The 16,086-nt window shown below is 36.0% G+C and overlaps 1 protein-coding gene across 22 annotated transcripts in view; it reads right to left on the minus strand.

The window, feature by feature from the left end:
* Window positions 1-16,086, minus strand: part of RALGAPA1 (Ral GTPase activating protein catalytic subunit alpha 1) — a 270,940-nt gene that overhangs the window by 35,986 nt on the left and 218,868 nt on the right. The window contains exon 39 of one of the 22 annotated variants that reach the window (XM_017021143.3): window positions 1,545-9,229. The exons of the other annotated variants lie outside the window; for them this stretch is intronic. Coding sequence (XP_016876632.1) covers window positions 9,097-9,229 — 133 coding nt within the window. The 3' untranslated portion in view covers window positions 1,545-9,096. Of the gene's footprint in view, window positions 1-1,544; window positions 9,230-16,086 lie in introns of those variants that run through there. 22 annotated transcript variants of the gene reach the window in all.

Raw genomic sequence — 16,086 nt, forward strand, 5'->3', positions numbered from 1 at the left:
AACTGAAGCTTGTTCAAATATCTTCTGTATAGTATTAAAAGTCTGTTAAATAAGTTTAATGGAAAAGAACAACATATTTTTGCCAAGCTGTTGTAATGAAGATTTCTGGCACAGAACCATGTACATAACAAAGTCATTCTAAACATGTTCAAACATTTTAAGCGAAAAGCTTCATGAAATCCCTTATCATTTACATTCAAATGCTAAATAAGTAATTATTTTAGGCTGTCATAATGAGATATGACATTATGATATATCTTCTTCAAGATATGTTTTTATATCTTTAAAATCTCTTACATAGTAATTAGACACAAATTGAGAAATTGCTAATCATTGCTATGTGTCTTGGGAATTTTTGAAAGACTACTGAAAAAATCAATTTTTAATGGTTAAGCATTAATAGAAATTTCAGGCATATGTATGTTTGACAAACTTTATATATTATTTAATATTGATTTTATTTATTCCTTATCTCTATGGACTTACAAGATTGTGTCCTATGGAGCAGGGTGTGGTGGCTCACACTTGCAATCCGAGCACTCTGGGAGGCTAAGGCGGGCGAATCACCTGAGGTCAGGAGTTTTGAGACTAGCCTGGCCAACATGGTGAAACCCCATCTCTACTAAAAATACAAAAATTAGACAGGTGTGGTGGCATACACCTGTAATCCCAGCTACTCAGGAGGCTGAGGAGGGAGGATTCCTTGAACCTGGGAGGCAGAAGTTGCAGAGACCTGAGATCATGCCACTGCACTCCAGCCTGTGCGACACAGTGAGACTCCATCTCAAAGAAAAAAAAAAAAAGATTGTATAACCAGTAGGTTTTGCTATACTCTAAAACCACCAAAGAAGTTCCTATCTACATGTTTATTGACCCAGATGCTAATTCATTTCTGAAATAGAGTAGAAGACTTCTGTACATGGGATAGGTCTGTTAAAACGATTGGCAACCAAACTACTCTTCTAAATTTCTTTCAACTGCTACTGAAGTCATTTTGGAACTCAAGGTATATAACATAGGCTACAGATGACTATTATTACTTGAAGAAGACAAAGCAGCTAAATGAAATTTAACATGTGTACAAGTGAAGTCCTCAAATACACTAGAATGTTAATACTGGAAGAGACCTTAAAGTTCTAATTTCCCACCTGATACAGGAGCTTGTGCCACCATATGCCTGATAAGTAGACATCCTGCCTCGGCTTGAATACTTCTAAGGTTGGGGATTTTATGAATTCACAAATCAACCCATTTCTTATTTATTTATTTTGAGATGGAGTTTTGCTCTTGTTGCCCAGGCTGGAGTGCAATGGTGCAACCTTGGCTCACTGCAACCTCCGCCTCCCAGGTTCAAGCGATTATCTTGCCTCAGCTTCCCAAGTAGCTGGGATTACAGGCTCCCACCCCCACGCCCAGCTAATTTTTTATTTTTAGTAGAGATGGGGTTTCACCATGTTGGCCAGGCTGGTCTCGAACTCCTGACCTCAGGTGATCCACCTGCCTCAGCCTCCCAAAGTGCTGGGATTACAGGCGTGAGCCACCGTGCCTGGCCCCCATTTCATTTTTAAAGAGCTACAATCATTAGAACATCTTAATACTAAGCTAAAAACTGCCTTCTGGATGCTAGCTCTTCCAAAATGAGCCTTACCAAATAAATCCAATCTGTATTCTATATATTTTCTGTTATCTGAAGATCAGTCTAATATATATCTTACCTTTCCTTTTCCAGGTTAAAAGTGTTCTTCTTAGCTCCTCTTACAGTTTACAAACATATTCATTATCTTGGGTTATTGTCTCAGTTTACTAATATTTCTATTAAACTTGTGTATGGAATAGAATTACAGTATCAACACATGCTCTGGATAATACAGCAAACCCACAGTGGGGCTGTTTCTTCCTTCAGTCTGTTCAATAAATTACTTTCTGCATTTTAAAAATGATGGCTCAAATGGAACTTGTAGTCAGTTCAAGTTGCTAAGTCTTTTTCTTACAAAGTTCTTTTAAGCAGGTACAATTGACTGCTAGAACTAAAGAAGGGATTTCATAATTTTCCCTTGCCAGGTTCAGATTATCTTTAAGCTTATGAAGGTCTATTGTTAGCCTGACTATGCTATTCATGTGCTGGCTCTCTGCCAGATTTGGGCTATCCTTAAGTTCAAATTCCAGTGTCTTCATTTACATTTTGGACAAAAATGTCAAATGGGACAGGCTTGGTTAAGAGCCTTACAGCAAGTCATTACAGACTTTCCTCCTGGTTAAAAAAATCCACAAAACCCTATATTTATTAAAGGTATTTATTAAGTGCTTACTGCTTACTGTTTGTGACAATTCATTAAATTTCCACAACAACACTATGAAGTAGTAATAATTATTATTATCCCTATTTTTACAGGAGAGGAATTGAAGCTTAAAAGGATGAAGTAACTCGCCTAAGGTCATACAAATAGTAAGTGGCAGAGCCAGGATTCAAACCAAGGCAGGCTGGTTCTAGAACCTATACTGTAACCACCTCCCTATATTGTTTCTTGTTAAATAATTAATTTATGTGCTATGAATATGATTATACAATCACTCATGAATATACTTATCAAACTCTTATTAAGACCACATTTCTTCAACTTGTCCACAACAAGCAACTTAGTTAAATGCTTTATTGCAGTCTATGGTTTTCCCTAATCTAGTAATCCTATTAAAACAAATTAAGTTATTTTGATGTGATTTGTTATGGTGAACTCATGGTGGCTCCTAGTGATCACTACACTTCATTATCTAAGTGCTCACAAACCATCTGTTTAATAATCCTATTTTGCCAGGCACTGACATGAAGCTCACGAATGTTGGTTAATTTCTATAGTCTATGGCCTGCTCCATGTTCTTCTGTGAAAATCAGATGTTCACCCATTGCTACAGACTGAATGTTTGCATCCCATCCACCCCCCAAATTCATATTGTGAAATCCTAACCCCCCAGTGTGTTGGTATCGGAAGGTAGGGAACTCTGGGAGGTGATTATGTTATGCGGGCTCCTTTATAAGGGATTAATGTCCTTATAAAAGAGACCCCAGAGAGCTTACTTGACTCTTCTGCTATTATATATAAGGTTACAATGAGAAGATGGTCATCTGTGAACAAGGGAGTGGTCCCTCATCAGACAATGAATCTGTCAGCATCTTGATCTTAGATTTCTCAGCCCCCAGAACTGTGAGAAATAAATTTCTGTGGTTTATAAGCCATTCAGTCTATGGTATTTTTGTTATATCAGCCTGAATGGACTAAGACATTCATCTTATGGCAATGCACTCATTCTCCATGATTACCAACAGGAATTCCAGAGTCAATTCTAGATTTCCTCAGTGCCATATAATATCACTTATCTGGGGCTGGAGACTAGAATTCTTATAAAGTAACTGTATTATGTCTCTCACTAAATCAATTTATCTTCCTGACTTCTCCATTTCTGTTAAAAGTACCTAACAACTAATTATAATCACTCAGGATTAAAACCTGATTGTCTTTTAGTCTTTTTTGATTACTCTGTTTTCCTTACTACATTGCTAATGAGCTCTTCATTTTTTTAAAAAAGTATATTCCTTTTCTGTACTTTCCTTCCTATTCCTCTACTGCTGTCCTAGATCACATGCTACTCATCCTACATACCACACATACTAATTCATGAGGTCTTAAAAGTCTTTTTTCTCTTCCTTCCCTCCTCCATATCCACCTTCTTTCATTCATAACCAAATATTGAGAGCTGACCAAATGCTAGCTTTTGCAGATGCAACAATGAGTAAAAACAGACATGGTCTCTGCTAGCAAAGCTTTGTGTACAGTGGAGGAGACAGAGTAAAATAACCATACAATAAATAAATAAATAATTTAAAAATACAAATGATGCTCTAAATATACTTTTCTCAATACAAATAACAAAGGACATGGATCTATAATAGCTCTTGAACTAAAAGCTGAAGAACACACAGAAGTTAATTAGGTTACGCAATTACTTCAGGAGATAGGGGTATACGTGTAGAAACTGTAACTTAGTATTCTTACTGCCCCAAGTTCCCATTCTTTCCCCCATCTTTCAGGCACTCACACTTAGTAAAAAACACTCTATGATATAACCCTCAATCATGTGAGAAAACATGCTTTAATATACCTTCTAATAGTCACACATATTTTCCTACATTCACTTGCTGTTTAGATTATTCATTTTTAGCAATCAGGAAAAGTTTCTTGAAAACAACAGGCACAGCATCCAATACTATGCCTTAGCAGAGTGGGCATTCAATAAATACTGGTGACTATTAAAAAGATAATATAACAATACTTATCTTGCATTTTTTTCCTATCATTACCCAGTACATAGCATAAAAATAGAATTATCTGCAGTTATGGCATTTATTTAAATATGTCACTTTGATAAAGACAAAGGTGTCTATAGATAGTTCTTTTGATTTGTGGCTATGGTAGCTGTGGTAATTCACTGAAAAAACATTTGTTAAATGCCAACAGGCCTGGTACTAGGTGCTGGAGATACAGCAGTAAGCAAAAGAGACAAAGTCCTTGTTCTCATGACCTTGATATTCTAGTGGGAGGAGTCAGATAAACATATACAAAAATAAACAAGGTAAACTTACATGCTGATAAATCTATAAAGAAAATAATATAGGGTAATGTGATAAAGTTCCTGAGTAGAAAGGGGCTTATTTAGCTAGGATGGTCTAAAAAGGTCTTTCTGAGAAACTGTCATGTGAGTTTAAGAACAGAAGAATTAGAATGAGGAAGCCTGATAATGTGGAGAAAAAACATTTCAAACTGAGAGAGTAGTAAGTGTACACAGCCCTTAAGATGTGAATGAGTTTGACATGTTGGAAGGTCAGAATGTCAGTCAGTGAGGCCAGATTATGGTAAATGAAAAGGAAAAAGACAGGAGATGAGATCTAGAGGTAGGCAGGCTGGTGGGGCCAAATCACGTAGTGCCATAGTGAGGAATTAGAATTTTATTCCCGGCCGGGCACAGTGGCTCACGCCTGTGATCCCAGCACTTTGGGAGGCTGAGGCGGGCAGATCATGAGGTCAAGAGATCGAGACCATCCTGGCAAACATGGTGAAACCTTGTCTCTACTAAAAGGTGGTGCACGCCTGTAGTCCCAGCTACTCGGGAGGCTGAGTCAGGAGAATCGCTTGAACCCAGGAGGTGGAGGTTGCAGTGAAAAGAGATCGCGCCATTGCACTCCAGTGTGGCAACATAGTGAGACTCCGTCTCAAAAAAAAAAAAAAAAGAATTTTATTCCCTATACAATGAGAGGCCTCTGCTATCTCACCCACATAACATTTACTGTGGTAAGATAAACTTGCATTGAACCATTTATATTTTCTGTTTTCTCAATCCTCTATTCTTGTCATCAGGAGTATATATGTAAAAACTGGAGTTATGGGCAGAGTTTCTTCTATAAGATTGTTATATTTAGGACTCAAACAATGAGTATAATTTCACAGCACTTATTAACTATAATCCTAACTTCACTTTTACTAAAATAATGAAAAAATTTAAAAATTATTCCTTAAATTTATTTTTTAACAAATTCATTTTTCAGACTATATTTAGCATATAGTTCTTTGGAAAGTATCTTATATTTCTGTATAAAATAAAGAAAAACAGATTTAAAATAAAAAATCAGACCAAGCAGCACTACAAGGTTCATTTATTTGCACAACTATTGTGAGTAAATTTCAAGACAGAAAATGAAACACTTTCCATTACACTAATAGTATTTCAGAGGAAATGGACTTAAATAAAGTGCTTCTTTCCCCCTATTTTGGGGGGTCCAGGAAATGAAACATAGACTAGAGAGTTCAACTAAGTATGTTACAATTATCTCAACTTGATCTTCATCAAACTTCTAAAAGGATGATTCAGCTACCTATGAAGCAGAGTATCAGCAAGTGGCTAGAACAAGGAGACAGAGGAAATGAGAGAGGCTCCTATGAACACTTTATACCAATGCTTGCAGCACTTTTGATTTTTAGGGGTGAATACACTCAGTTAAGTGGAAATTATTTTTAACCATTTTCCATCAATCTTCCTCAGGAAGAGATAATTTATAGAACAGATTGCTTGGACTGGGGTTATATCAGGATTTTTATATGGTGGTGCAACATTTCTAAGAGAAACTTAGCTAAACTGAATGTTTGGCTAATTTGCTCAAGAAGTATAGTCTATGTTGTAAATATTCTGCTGCTACTGTCTTGAGCCTTGAAAAAGCTTCTCTTCACAAGAAATATAAATGCTACATTTAAATAGGTCCAAGGATATTTACTTCTCATTCTGAGAAAATAAAATGTTTGAAAATAATTTACAAATCACATATTTTAAATAAAAAATCAGAACTAAAATTAGTTTCTATAAAATGGATATAAATGATTTTACCCTACCAAGTTTAAAGCAAAGGACCAGAGTCATAAATAATTCTAGCTTGCCAGAGGCATGGCTATTTCTTTATACTGACTGTCGACTATCTAATTTAATTAGAGGTATTAAACTCCTTGCTGAGGTCAACAAGCCTTACTTCCTCCAATATTACACTTCAACCCGTGCTCATTAATGTGTCTACTGAATGGATTAACACACCTAAAGATATATGTACAAAGGATAGGGGGGACAACCTAATGATATCCAATTGTTCATTTATAATAGGACACATGTTCTAGCCTCAACTTATTACCACTAATGTGGAATTTATTAAATTCAGGAGAAAAAATACCAATACAGAAAGTGATTTTTTATCAGGGACAACTGGTATAAGACAACTGGCTTCTACGATTAAGTTTAAACATTTAACCTATCAAAAATAAAGTGATACTAAAATAAAACTAAAATATAAGCCTGCTACTTAGAAAAATCTTATATACTAGAACTCTGAGGAAAAGATTAAGGCAACAGTCATTAGGTATAGGGAAACGGGAAACATCAGTATATAGAGAAATCAATGTTTATAAGGTTTTAAAAAATTTCTACGAAAAGAAAGTTTAAGCTAATTACACTGAATTATGAGATCAAATAAAAATTCCCTTTCTGTTGGACTTAAAAGCTGCTATTGTTTCTTGGAGAATCGCAGTATCAGGACGTATATGACCACATTGTTCATACATATAGAGCTGAAACATTGCTTTAATTTAGTTTGACGCTGACAAAGTAAATTTTACTTAAATTGATTTAAATTACTACTAGAGAAAATAAGACATTTCTCCAAAGAGTATATACAAATAGGCAATAAGCACATGAAAAGATGCTCAATATCATTAGAAGGGAAATACAAGTCAAAAGCACAACGAAATATCATTTCACACCTACTACTATGGCTATAATTATTTTTTTAAAACAGAAAATAACAAGTGTTGGCAAAGATGTGGAAAAATTGCAACCCTTAAGCATTCCTGGTGGAAATATAAAATGATGCAGCTGCTGTAGAAAACATCCTGACAATTTCTCAGAAAGCTACATATACAATTACCATATGATCCCAGCAATTCCACTCCTAGCTATATAGCTAAATTGAAAACAGGGATTCAAATAGATATTTGTATGCCAATGTTCACTGCAACATTGTTTACAAGAACCAAAAGGTGGAAACAACCCAATTTCCAGCCACAGATGAATGGGTAAACAAAATGAGGTATATACTTGCAACAGATTATTATTCAGCTTTAAAAAGGAATGAAATTCTGATGTATGCTACAACATGAATGGATCTTGAAAACATGCTAAGTAAAACAGGCACAAAAGGACACATATTTTATGATTCCACTTATTCGAGGTTCCTAGAACTGGCAAATTCATAGAGGAAGTGGATTAGAGGTTACCAGGGGTAGTGGAAGGAGGAATGGGGAATTACTGTTTAATGGGTACAAAGTTGCTGTTTGAAAATTTAAAAAAGTTCTGGAACAAAAACAAAAAACAAAAAACAACAAAACAAGTTCTGGGTCTTCCAGTTTCTGGTGCAGCATATAAAGGTTTGGAATCACCACTTTGATCTAACAACAAATAAAATGCCGAACAAACTGAAAATCAACAATTCTTTTTAGCATCATCAGAGACATGAAGTCACAGGAAAAATGCTCCCCTCCCCATTCCTGGTGTCCCACTGGAGAGAGACAGATAATTACAGCTGACTGATGGAATCTAGTGCCAGTGTAGGAAAACCTGAACTAAAATTGAACTGCTGGAAGCTCAGTGTGGACAAGTCTAAGAGTTAGCAACTCCAGGAGAAACCAGTCTTATGGGGAACTTCCCTACTTTTGTGAGTTTTATTTCCAAGAGCTCTACCAGGTCCTCACAGTGAATAATAGAGAAAAATATCCTCTTGCTTTATGGAGGGGGAGGGGAAAAACAATTATTTGAAACACACCAAAACATTCTGTTCTTCTTTAAAAGGCCTGCCCTCAGTAGAAACTATTTTACCAAAGCCTAATCTACCTGGGAGAAGAAAAATAGCCAACTCTGGCTCCTTGGAAGGTCATACTGTCCCACCTAAGGGAAGAGACTGAAAAACACTAGTGAAGTTCACAATCCAGGGCCACAGGCTCAGCAAAATACTGAAACCTAATGATGGGACAATGGAGTGCCTCCCCTTCCCCCACACCTTACCACCATACCACTAAAGGCCTATTTACCAGAGTTCCTTTTACTGAGCATATGTTCAGATTTCAACAAAAAATTACAAGACAAAAAACATAGTCTAAAGAGACTGAACAAGCATCAGAACAGAATAAGCACCAGAGTCAGATGTGGCAGAGATGCTAGAATTATCAGACCAGGAATTTAAAACAACTATGGTTAACATGCTATGGGGCTCTAATGGAAAAAGTAGACAACATTTAAGAACAGATGGACAATGTATGTAGAGAGATGGAAATTCTAGGAAAAAATAATCAAGAAAAAATGCTAGAGTTAAAAAAACACTGGAACAGAAATTTTAAAATGTCTTTGATAGGCTCATTCACAGACAAGACACAGCTGAGGAAAGAATCTCTGAGCTTCAGGATATCTCAATAGAAACCTCCAAAACAGAAAAGCAAAGAGAAAAAAGATTTATATTCAAACAGAATATGCAAAAACTGTGGGACTACCATGAAAGATGTAAATACATGTAATGGGAACTCCAAAAGAAGAAGAAAGAGAAAAAGGAACAGAAGCAATATTTGAAGCAATAATAACAGAATTTCCCCAACTTAATGTCAGTCATAAACCCAGATCCAGGAAGCTCAGTGAACACCACGCAGGGTAAATGTCAAAAAACTACACCTAGGTGCATCACATTTAAACTTGGAAAATCAAGGGGAAAGAAAAATTCTTCAAAGAAACCAGAGGAAAAAAAATCTTACCTATAGAGTAGCAAAGATAAAAATTACTTCTGATGTCTCAGAAATTACATAAGCAAGAAGAGAGTAGAGTGAAATATTTAAAGTATTGAGAGAGGAAAAAAAATACCACACACCTAGAATTCTGTACCCTGTGAAATTACCCTTCAGAAGTGAAAAAGAAATAAGACTTTCTCAGGCAAACAAAAATTGAGGGAATTTGCAGCCTGTAGACCTACCTTTCAAGAAATGTTAAAACAAGTTCTTCAGAGAGAAGAAAAACATATGTGTCATAAACTTGGATCTACATGATGAAAGGAAGAGTATGCAGAATGAATAAGTGAGGGTAAATTAAAACTTTTATTTTTCTTAGTCATAATTGGTTTAACAGAATATAGTTTAATAATAGCAGCAATGTATTTGAATATGTATGCTCATATTCATATATATATATAGGTTTATATATACCTAAAACAAGCGAAATGAATGACAGCAATGATACAAGGGATGGAAAGGAGGGATTAGGAATACTTTGTTATTGCAAGCAGTAATATATAAGCAGTATAGAATAATTTTTTTTTTGAGACAGATCTCACTTTGTCACTCAAGCTGGAGTGCAGTGGTGCAATCATGGCCCACTGCAGCCTCAACTTCCCCAAGCTCAGGTGATCCTCTCACCTCAGCCTCCCAAGTCGCTGGGACCATGGGGATACACCATCATGCCTGGCTAACTTTTGTGTTTCTTGTATAAACAAGGTTTCACCATGTTGCCCAGGCTGGTCTTGAACTCCTGGGCTCAACAGATCTGCCAGCCTCTGCCTTCCAAAGTGCTGGGATTACAGGTGTTAGCCACTGCACCCGGTTGGTATAGTGTAATTTGAAAGTGGACTTGTAACTTGGATTAACTACAAATGTATAGTGTAAACTCTACAGCAATCACTAAAAAGTTAAAAAGTTAAAAAAAGAAGCATAATTGATATGTTAAGAAAGGAGAGAGAAGGGAATCATATAAAATGCTCAATTAAAACCAGAAAAGGCAGAAAAAGTATAAAAGACAAAAACAGGAACAAAGAACAAGGGCAAAAATAGAAAACAGAATACAGCAGACAAAAATAGAAAACAGTAAAGAATATAGTAGATATTAATTCAACTATATTAATAATCACTTTAAGAATTAATGTTATAAATAAACCAATTAAAAGAGATTGTCAGAGTGGAGCTAAAAACATATATATTGTCTACAAGAAAGCCACTATAAAGACAAATATAGACTAAAAGTAAAAAGATATACCATGCTAACACTAATCAAAAGAAAGCAGGAGTAACTATATTAATTTCAGACAGAACAGACTTCAGAGCAAGAAAGTTATCAGCGATAAAGAGAAGCCTCATATAACAAAGGAGTCAATACTAGAAGATGACATAGCAATCTGTACATGTAGGTGCCTAACAACAAAGCATCAAAATGCATCAAGCAAAAACTGACATAACTTCAAACTCACAAGGAATATTCACCAAGACAGACCATATTCTGGGCCATCAAATACACCTTCGGAAATTCAAAAGAACAGAAATCATAAAATGTCTGCTCTTGAACAATGGAATTAAATTAGAAATCAGTAACAGAAAGATAGTTGGAAAACCCCAAAATACCTGGAGATTAAACAACATACTTCTTAAAAACACATGGGTCAAATAATATATCTCAAGAGAAATTAAGAAATATTTTGAAACAAATGAAAATGCAAAAGTTCTGTAAGAGACAGTGGTGATGGTTGCAAAGCACTGTGAGACTACTTAAAGCCAATGAATTAGTTAAAAATGGTTTAAAAAATAGTTAAAATGAACTTATTCTCTAATAAATCTAGTGCATAAAAGTTTCATCGTTTCAGAGTACAACTTTAATTAAAACTCAATCTTTTTTTGTATAAGGTTTAAGGAAGGGATCCAGTTTCAGCTTTCTACATATGGCTAGCCAGTTTCCCCAGCACCATTTATTAAATAGGGAATCCTTTCCCCATTTCTTGTTTTTGTCAGGTGTGTCAAAGATCAGATGGTTGTAGATGTGTGGTTTTATTTCTGAGGGCTCTGCTCTGTTCCATTGGTCTATATCTCTGTTTTGGTACCAGTACCATCCTGTTTTGGTTACTGTAGCCTTGTAGTATAGTTTGAAGTCAGGTAGCGTGATGCCTCCAGCTTTGTTCTTTTTGCTTAGGATTGTCTTGGCAATGCGGGCTCTTTTTTGGTTCCACGTGAACTTTAAAGTAGTTTTTTCCAATTCTGTGAAGAAAGTCATTTGTAGCTTGATGGGGATGGCATTGAATCTATAAATTACCTTGGGCAGTATGGCCATTTTCACAATACTGATTCTTCCTATCCATGAGCATGGAATGTTCTTCTATTTGTTTGTGTCCTCTTTTAGTTAGTTGAGCAGTGGTTTGTAGTTCTCCTTCAAGAGGTCCTTCACATCCATTGTAAGTTGGATTCCTAAGGTATTTTATTCTCTTTGAAGCAATAGTGAATGGGAGTTCACTTATGATTTGGCTGTTTGTCTATTATTGGTGTATAGGAATGCTTGTGATTTTTGCACATTGATTTTGTATCCTGAGACTTTGCCGAAGTTGCTTGTCAGCTTAAGGAGATTTTGGGCTGAGACAATGGGGTTTTCTAAATATACAATCATGTCATCTGCAAACAGGGACAAGTTGACTTCCTCTTTTCCTAATTGAACACCCTTTATTTCTTTCTCCTGCCTGATTGCCCTGGCCAGAACTTCCAACACTATGTTGAACAGGAGTGGTGAGAGAGGGCATCCTTGTCTTGTACCAGTTTTCAAAGGGAATACTTCCAGTTTTTGCCCATTCAGTATGACATTGGCTGTGGGTTTGTCATAAACAGCTCTTACTATTTTGAGATAAGTCCCATCAATACCTAGTTTATTGAGAGTTTTTAGCATGAAGAGCTGTTGAATTTTGTCGAAGGCCTTTTCTGCATCTATTGAGATAATCATGGATAATCATGTGGTTTTTGTCTTTGGTTCTGTTTCTATGCTGGATTACGTTCATTGATTTGTGTATGTTGAACCAGCCTTGCATCCCAGGCATGAAGCCAACCTGATTGTGGTACATAAGCTTTTTGTTGTGCTGCTGGATTTGGTTTGCCAGTATTTTATTGAAGATTTTGGCATTGATGTTTATCAGGGATATTGGTCTAAAATTCTCCTTTTTGTGTATGTGTATCTGCCAGGCTTTGGTATCAGGATGATGCTGGCCTCATAAAATGAGTTAGGGAGGATTCCCTCTTTTTCTATTGATTGGAATAGTTTCAGAAGGAATGGTACCAGCTCCTCTTTGTACCTCTGGTAGAATTCGGCTGTGAATCCGTCTGGTCCTGGACTGTTGTTGGTTTGTAGGCTACTAATTATTGCCTCAATTTCAGAGCCTGTTATTGGTCTATTCAGGGATTTAACTTCTTCCTGGTTTAGTCTTGGGAGGGTGTATGTGTCCAGGAATTTATCCATTTCTTCTAGATTTTCTAGTTTATTTGCGTAGAGGTGTTTATAGTCTCTGATGGTAGTAAACTAGTTCAACCATTGTGGAAGACAGTGTGGCGATTCCTCAAGGATCTAGAACTAGAAATACCATTTGACCCAGCCATCCCATTACTGGGTGTATACCCAAAGAAGTATAAATCATGCTGCTGTAAAAACACATGCATACGTATGTCTACTGCAGCACTATTCACAATAGCAAAGACTTGGGACCAACCCAAATGTCCATCAATGATAGACTGGAGTAAGAAAATGTGGCACATATACACCATGGAATACTATGCAGCCATAAAAAAGGATGAGTTCATGTCCTTTGCAGGGACATGGATGAAGCTGGAAACCATCATTTTGAGCAAACTATTGCAAGGACAGAAAACCAAACACCGCATGTTCTCACTCATAGGTGAGAATTGAACAATGAGAACCTTGGACACAGGGTGGGGAACATTACACACTGGGGCCTGTCGTGGGGTGGGGGGAAGGGGTAGGGATAGCATTAGGAGATATACCTAATGTAAATGATGAGTTGATGGGTGCAGCACACCAACATGGCACATGTATACATATGTAACAAAGCTGCACGTTGTGCACATGTACTCTAGAACTTAAAGTATAATTTAAAAAAATTAAAAAATAAAACTCAATCATTTAACAACCCTTTTATTTTATTTTTTTGAGACAGAGTCTCACTCTATCACCAGGCTGGAGTGCAGTGGTGTGATCTCAGCTTACTGCAACCTCCGCCTCCTGGGTTCAAGCAATTCTCCTGCCTCAGCCTCCCGAGTAGCTGGGACTACAGGCACGTGCCACCACGCCCAGCTAGTTTTTGAATTTTTAGTAAAGACGGGGTTTCACCATGTTGGCCAGGATGCTCTCAATTTCTTGACCTCATGATCCATCAATCTCTTGACCTCACGTTCCGCCCGCCTCAGCCTCCCAAAGTGCTGGGATTACAGGCGTGAGCCATCGCTCCCGGCCAACAACTCTTAAATGGTGCTATCATGCCTAAAATTTGTCTTATTTGCTATGATAAAGGATTATTAAACATCCATTTCAGATGCTTCTTTTAAAATAATTAAGGGCCCTTGTGACTACTTTGAGGGAAACAGGCATCTTATTTGACATTTCTACAAAGGTCACAGGAATAAACTATCAAGTGCCATATAATTAGCAAGTTTAATACAGTGAAGTAAAAATATCCTGACATAGTTTTCTTTAACAAAAAAGTCATTTTAATAGAAAATAATCTACTTTGTTCCACTTTTAGGTTTGCAATCTAAGATACTATTAATTTTTACAAATAAAACCATGATGAGATATCCTATTAGAATGACTATTATCAAAAAGACAAAATGTAACGGCAAGGATGTGGAAAAAAGAGGACTTTGTTACATAGGTAGTGGGAATTTAAATTAGTACAGGCATTACGGAAAACAGTATGGGGGTTCTTCAAAAAATTAAAAATTAGAACTATCATTATGATCCAGCAATCCCCCTACTGGGTATATATCCAGAGAAAATGAAATCAGTATGTCAAAGAGATTATCTGCACACTCACGTTCAGTGCAGCCTTATTCACAATAACCAGGATATGGAATCAATCTAAGAGTCCATCAATTGATGAATGGATAAAGAAAATGTGGTATATATATAAAATGGAACACTATTCAACCTTACAAATGAAGGAAATCCTGTCATTTATAAAAACACGGATTAACCTGAAGGACTTTATGTTAGGTAAATTAAGCCAGGCACAAAAAGACAAACCATGATCTCACTTTTAAGTGGAATCTAAAAAAGTTGAATTCATAGAAAGATGGAGTACAGTAAGTCCTCACAATGTCATCAATAGGTTCTTGGAAACTGCAACTTTAAGCAAAACAACATATAGCAGGCCTTCAAATAATGTCATATCCTTCATAATTTCATTATAAATTTGATGATAAAATACAATTGGTTTCATTATATGCCATTTTCCTTAAACGGAGAGAGTCATCACTTATGGGGAAGAGTTTGAAAATGGAGAGAAGCTGGTCAAGGGACACAAAATTTAAGTTAGGAGGAATGAGTTAAAGAGAGCTATTGTACAACATAATGACTATAGTTAAGAACAACATGCTGTATACTTGAAAATTGCTAAGAGAATAGATTTTAAGTGTTCTCAACATGAAAAACTGGTATGTGAGGTAATGCATATTTTAATTAGCTTGATTTAGCTATTCCACAGTGTTTACATATATCAAAATGTGTTGTATATCATAAATATATACAATTTCAATTTATCAATTAAAAAAGTAAATGTTTAAAAAAGAAATATATGAGAAATATACTTAAAACAGTCACTATTGTAGGACAGCAGAATAGTAATATATTATTAATTTTAAACTCTGCATTGGGGTTTAAAAATTATGCCCATGGAGCCCTGATTAAATTTATGTATGTATTTATTTATTTATTTATTTATTTTTGAGACAGTGTTTCACTCTGTCACTGAGGCTGTAGTGCAGTGGTGCAATCTTGGCTCATTGCAGCCTCAAGCTCCTGGACTCAAGCAATCTTCCCACCTCAGCCTCCAAATAGCTGGGACTACAGGCATGCACCACTATGCCTGGCTAATTTTTTTTGTAAGGACAGGGTGTCACTATGTTACCCAGACTGATATCGAACTCCTGAGCTTGAGCAATCCTCCCACCTTAGCCTCCCAAAGTGCTGGGATTACAAGTGTGAGCCACTGTGCCTGGCTTATTTATCTTTTTACACTATACTTATAACTGTGTCTACTTTGGGTATAATTTATTTTCATAGAGATTTAAGATAAATTCCTGGAACAAATGGTTTATGTGAAGTTTTAACAAATCTTTATTCCAATCCTATTTAACATCATATACTATTATCAGTATTGATGTCTTATCTTGTACTTCTAAAAAGCATATGCCAAAAAATTCTGTAACAAACTTTTCACTGAATATGCTTTCATAGACTTATTAATTACCTCTACCCCACCACTCATTGCAATCTAATTAGTACCCATATATTAGTTTTCCTAGCTATTATCCATTTATTAGGCAATTTCTAACAATATTCTAAAATGTAAACAAAAGGCATAAAAGGTAGTTGATATAGTTTGCCTTTGTGTCCCCAACCAAATCTCATCTTGAATTGTAATCACTGGGTATT

Source organism: Homo sapiens, chromosome 14 (genome assembly GCF_000001405.40).
Source record: "Homo sapiens chromosome 14, GRCh38.p14 Primary Assembly".
Taxonomy (NCBI): Eukaryota; Metazoa; Chordata; class Mammalia; order Primates; family Hominidae; genus Homo; species Homo sapiens.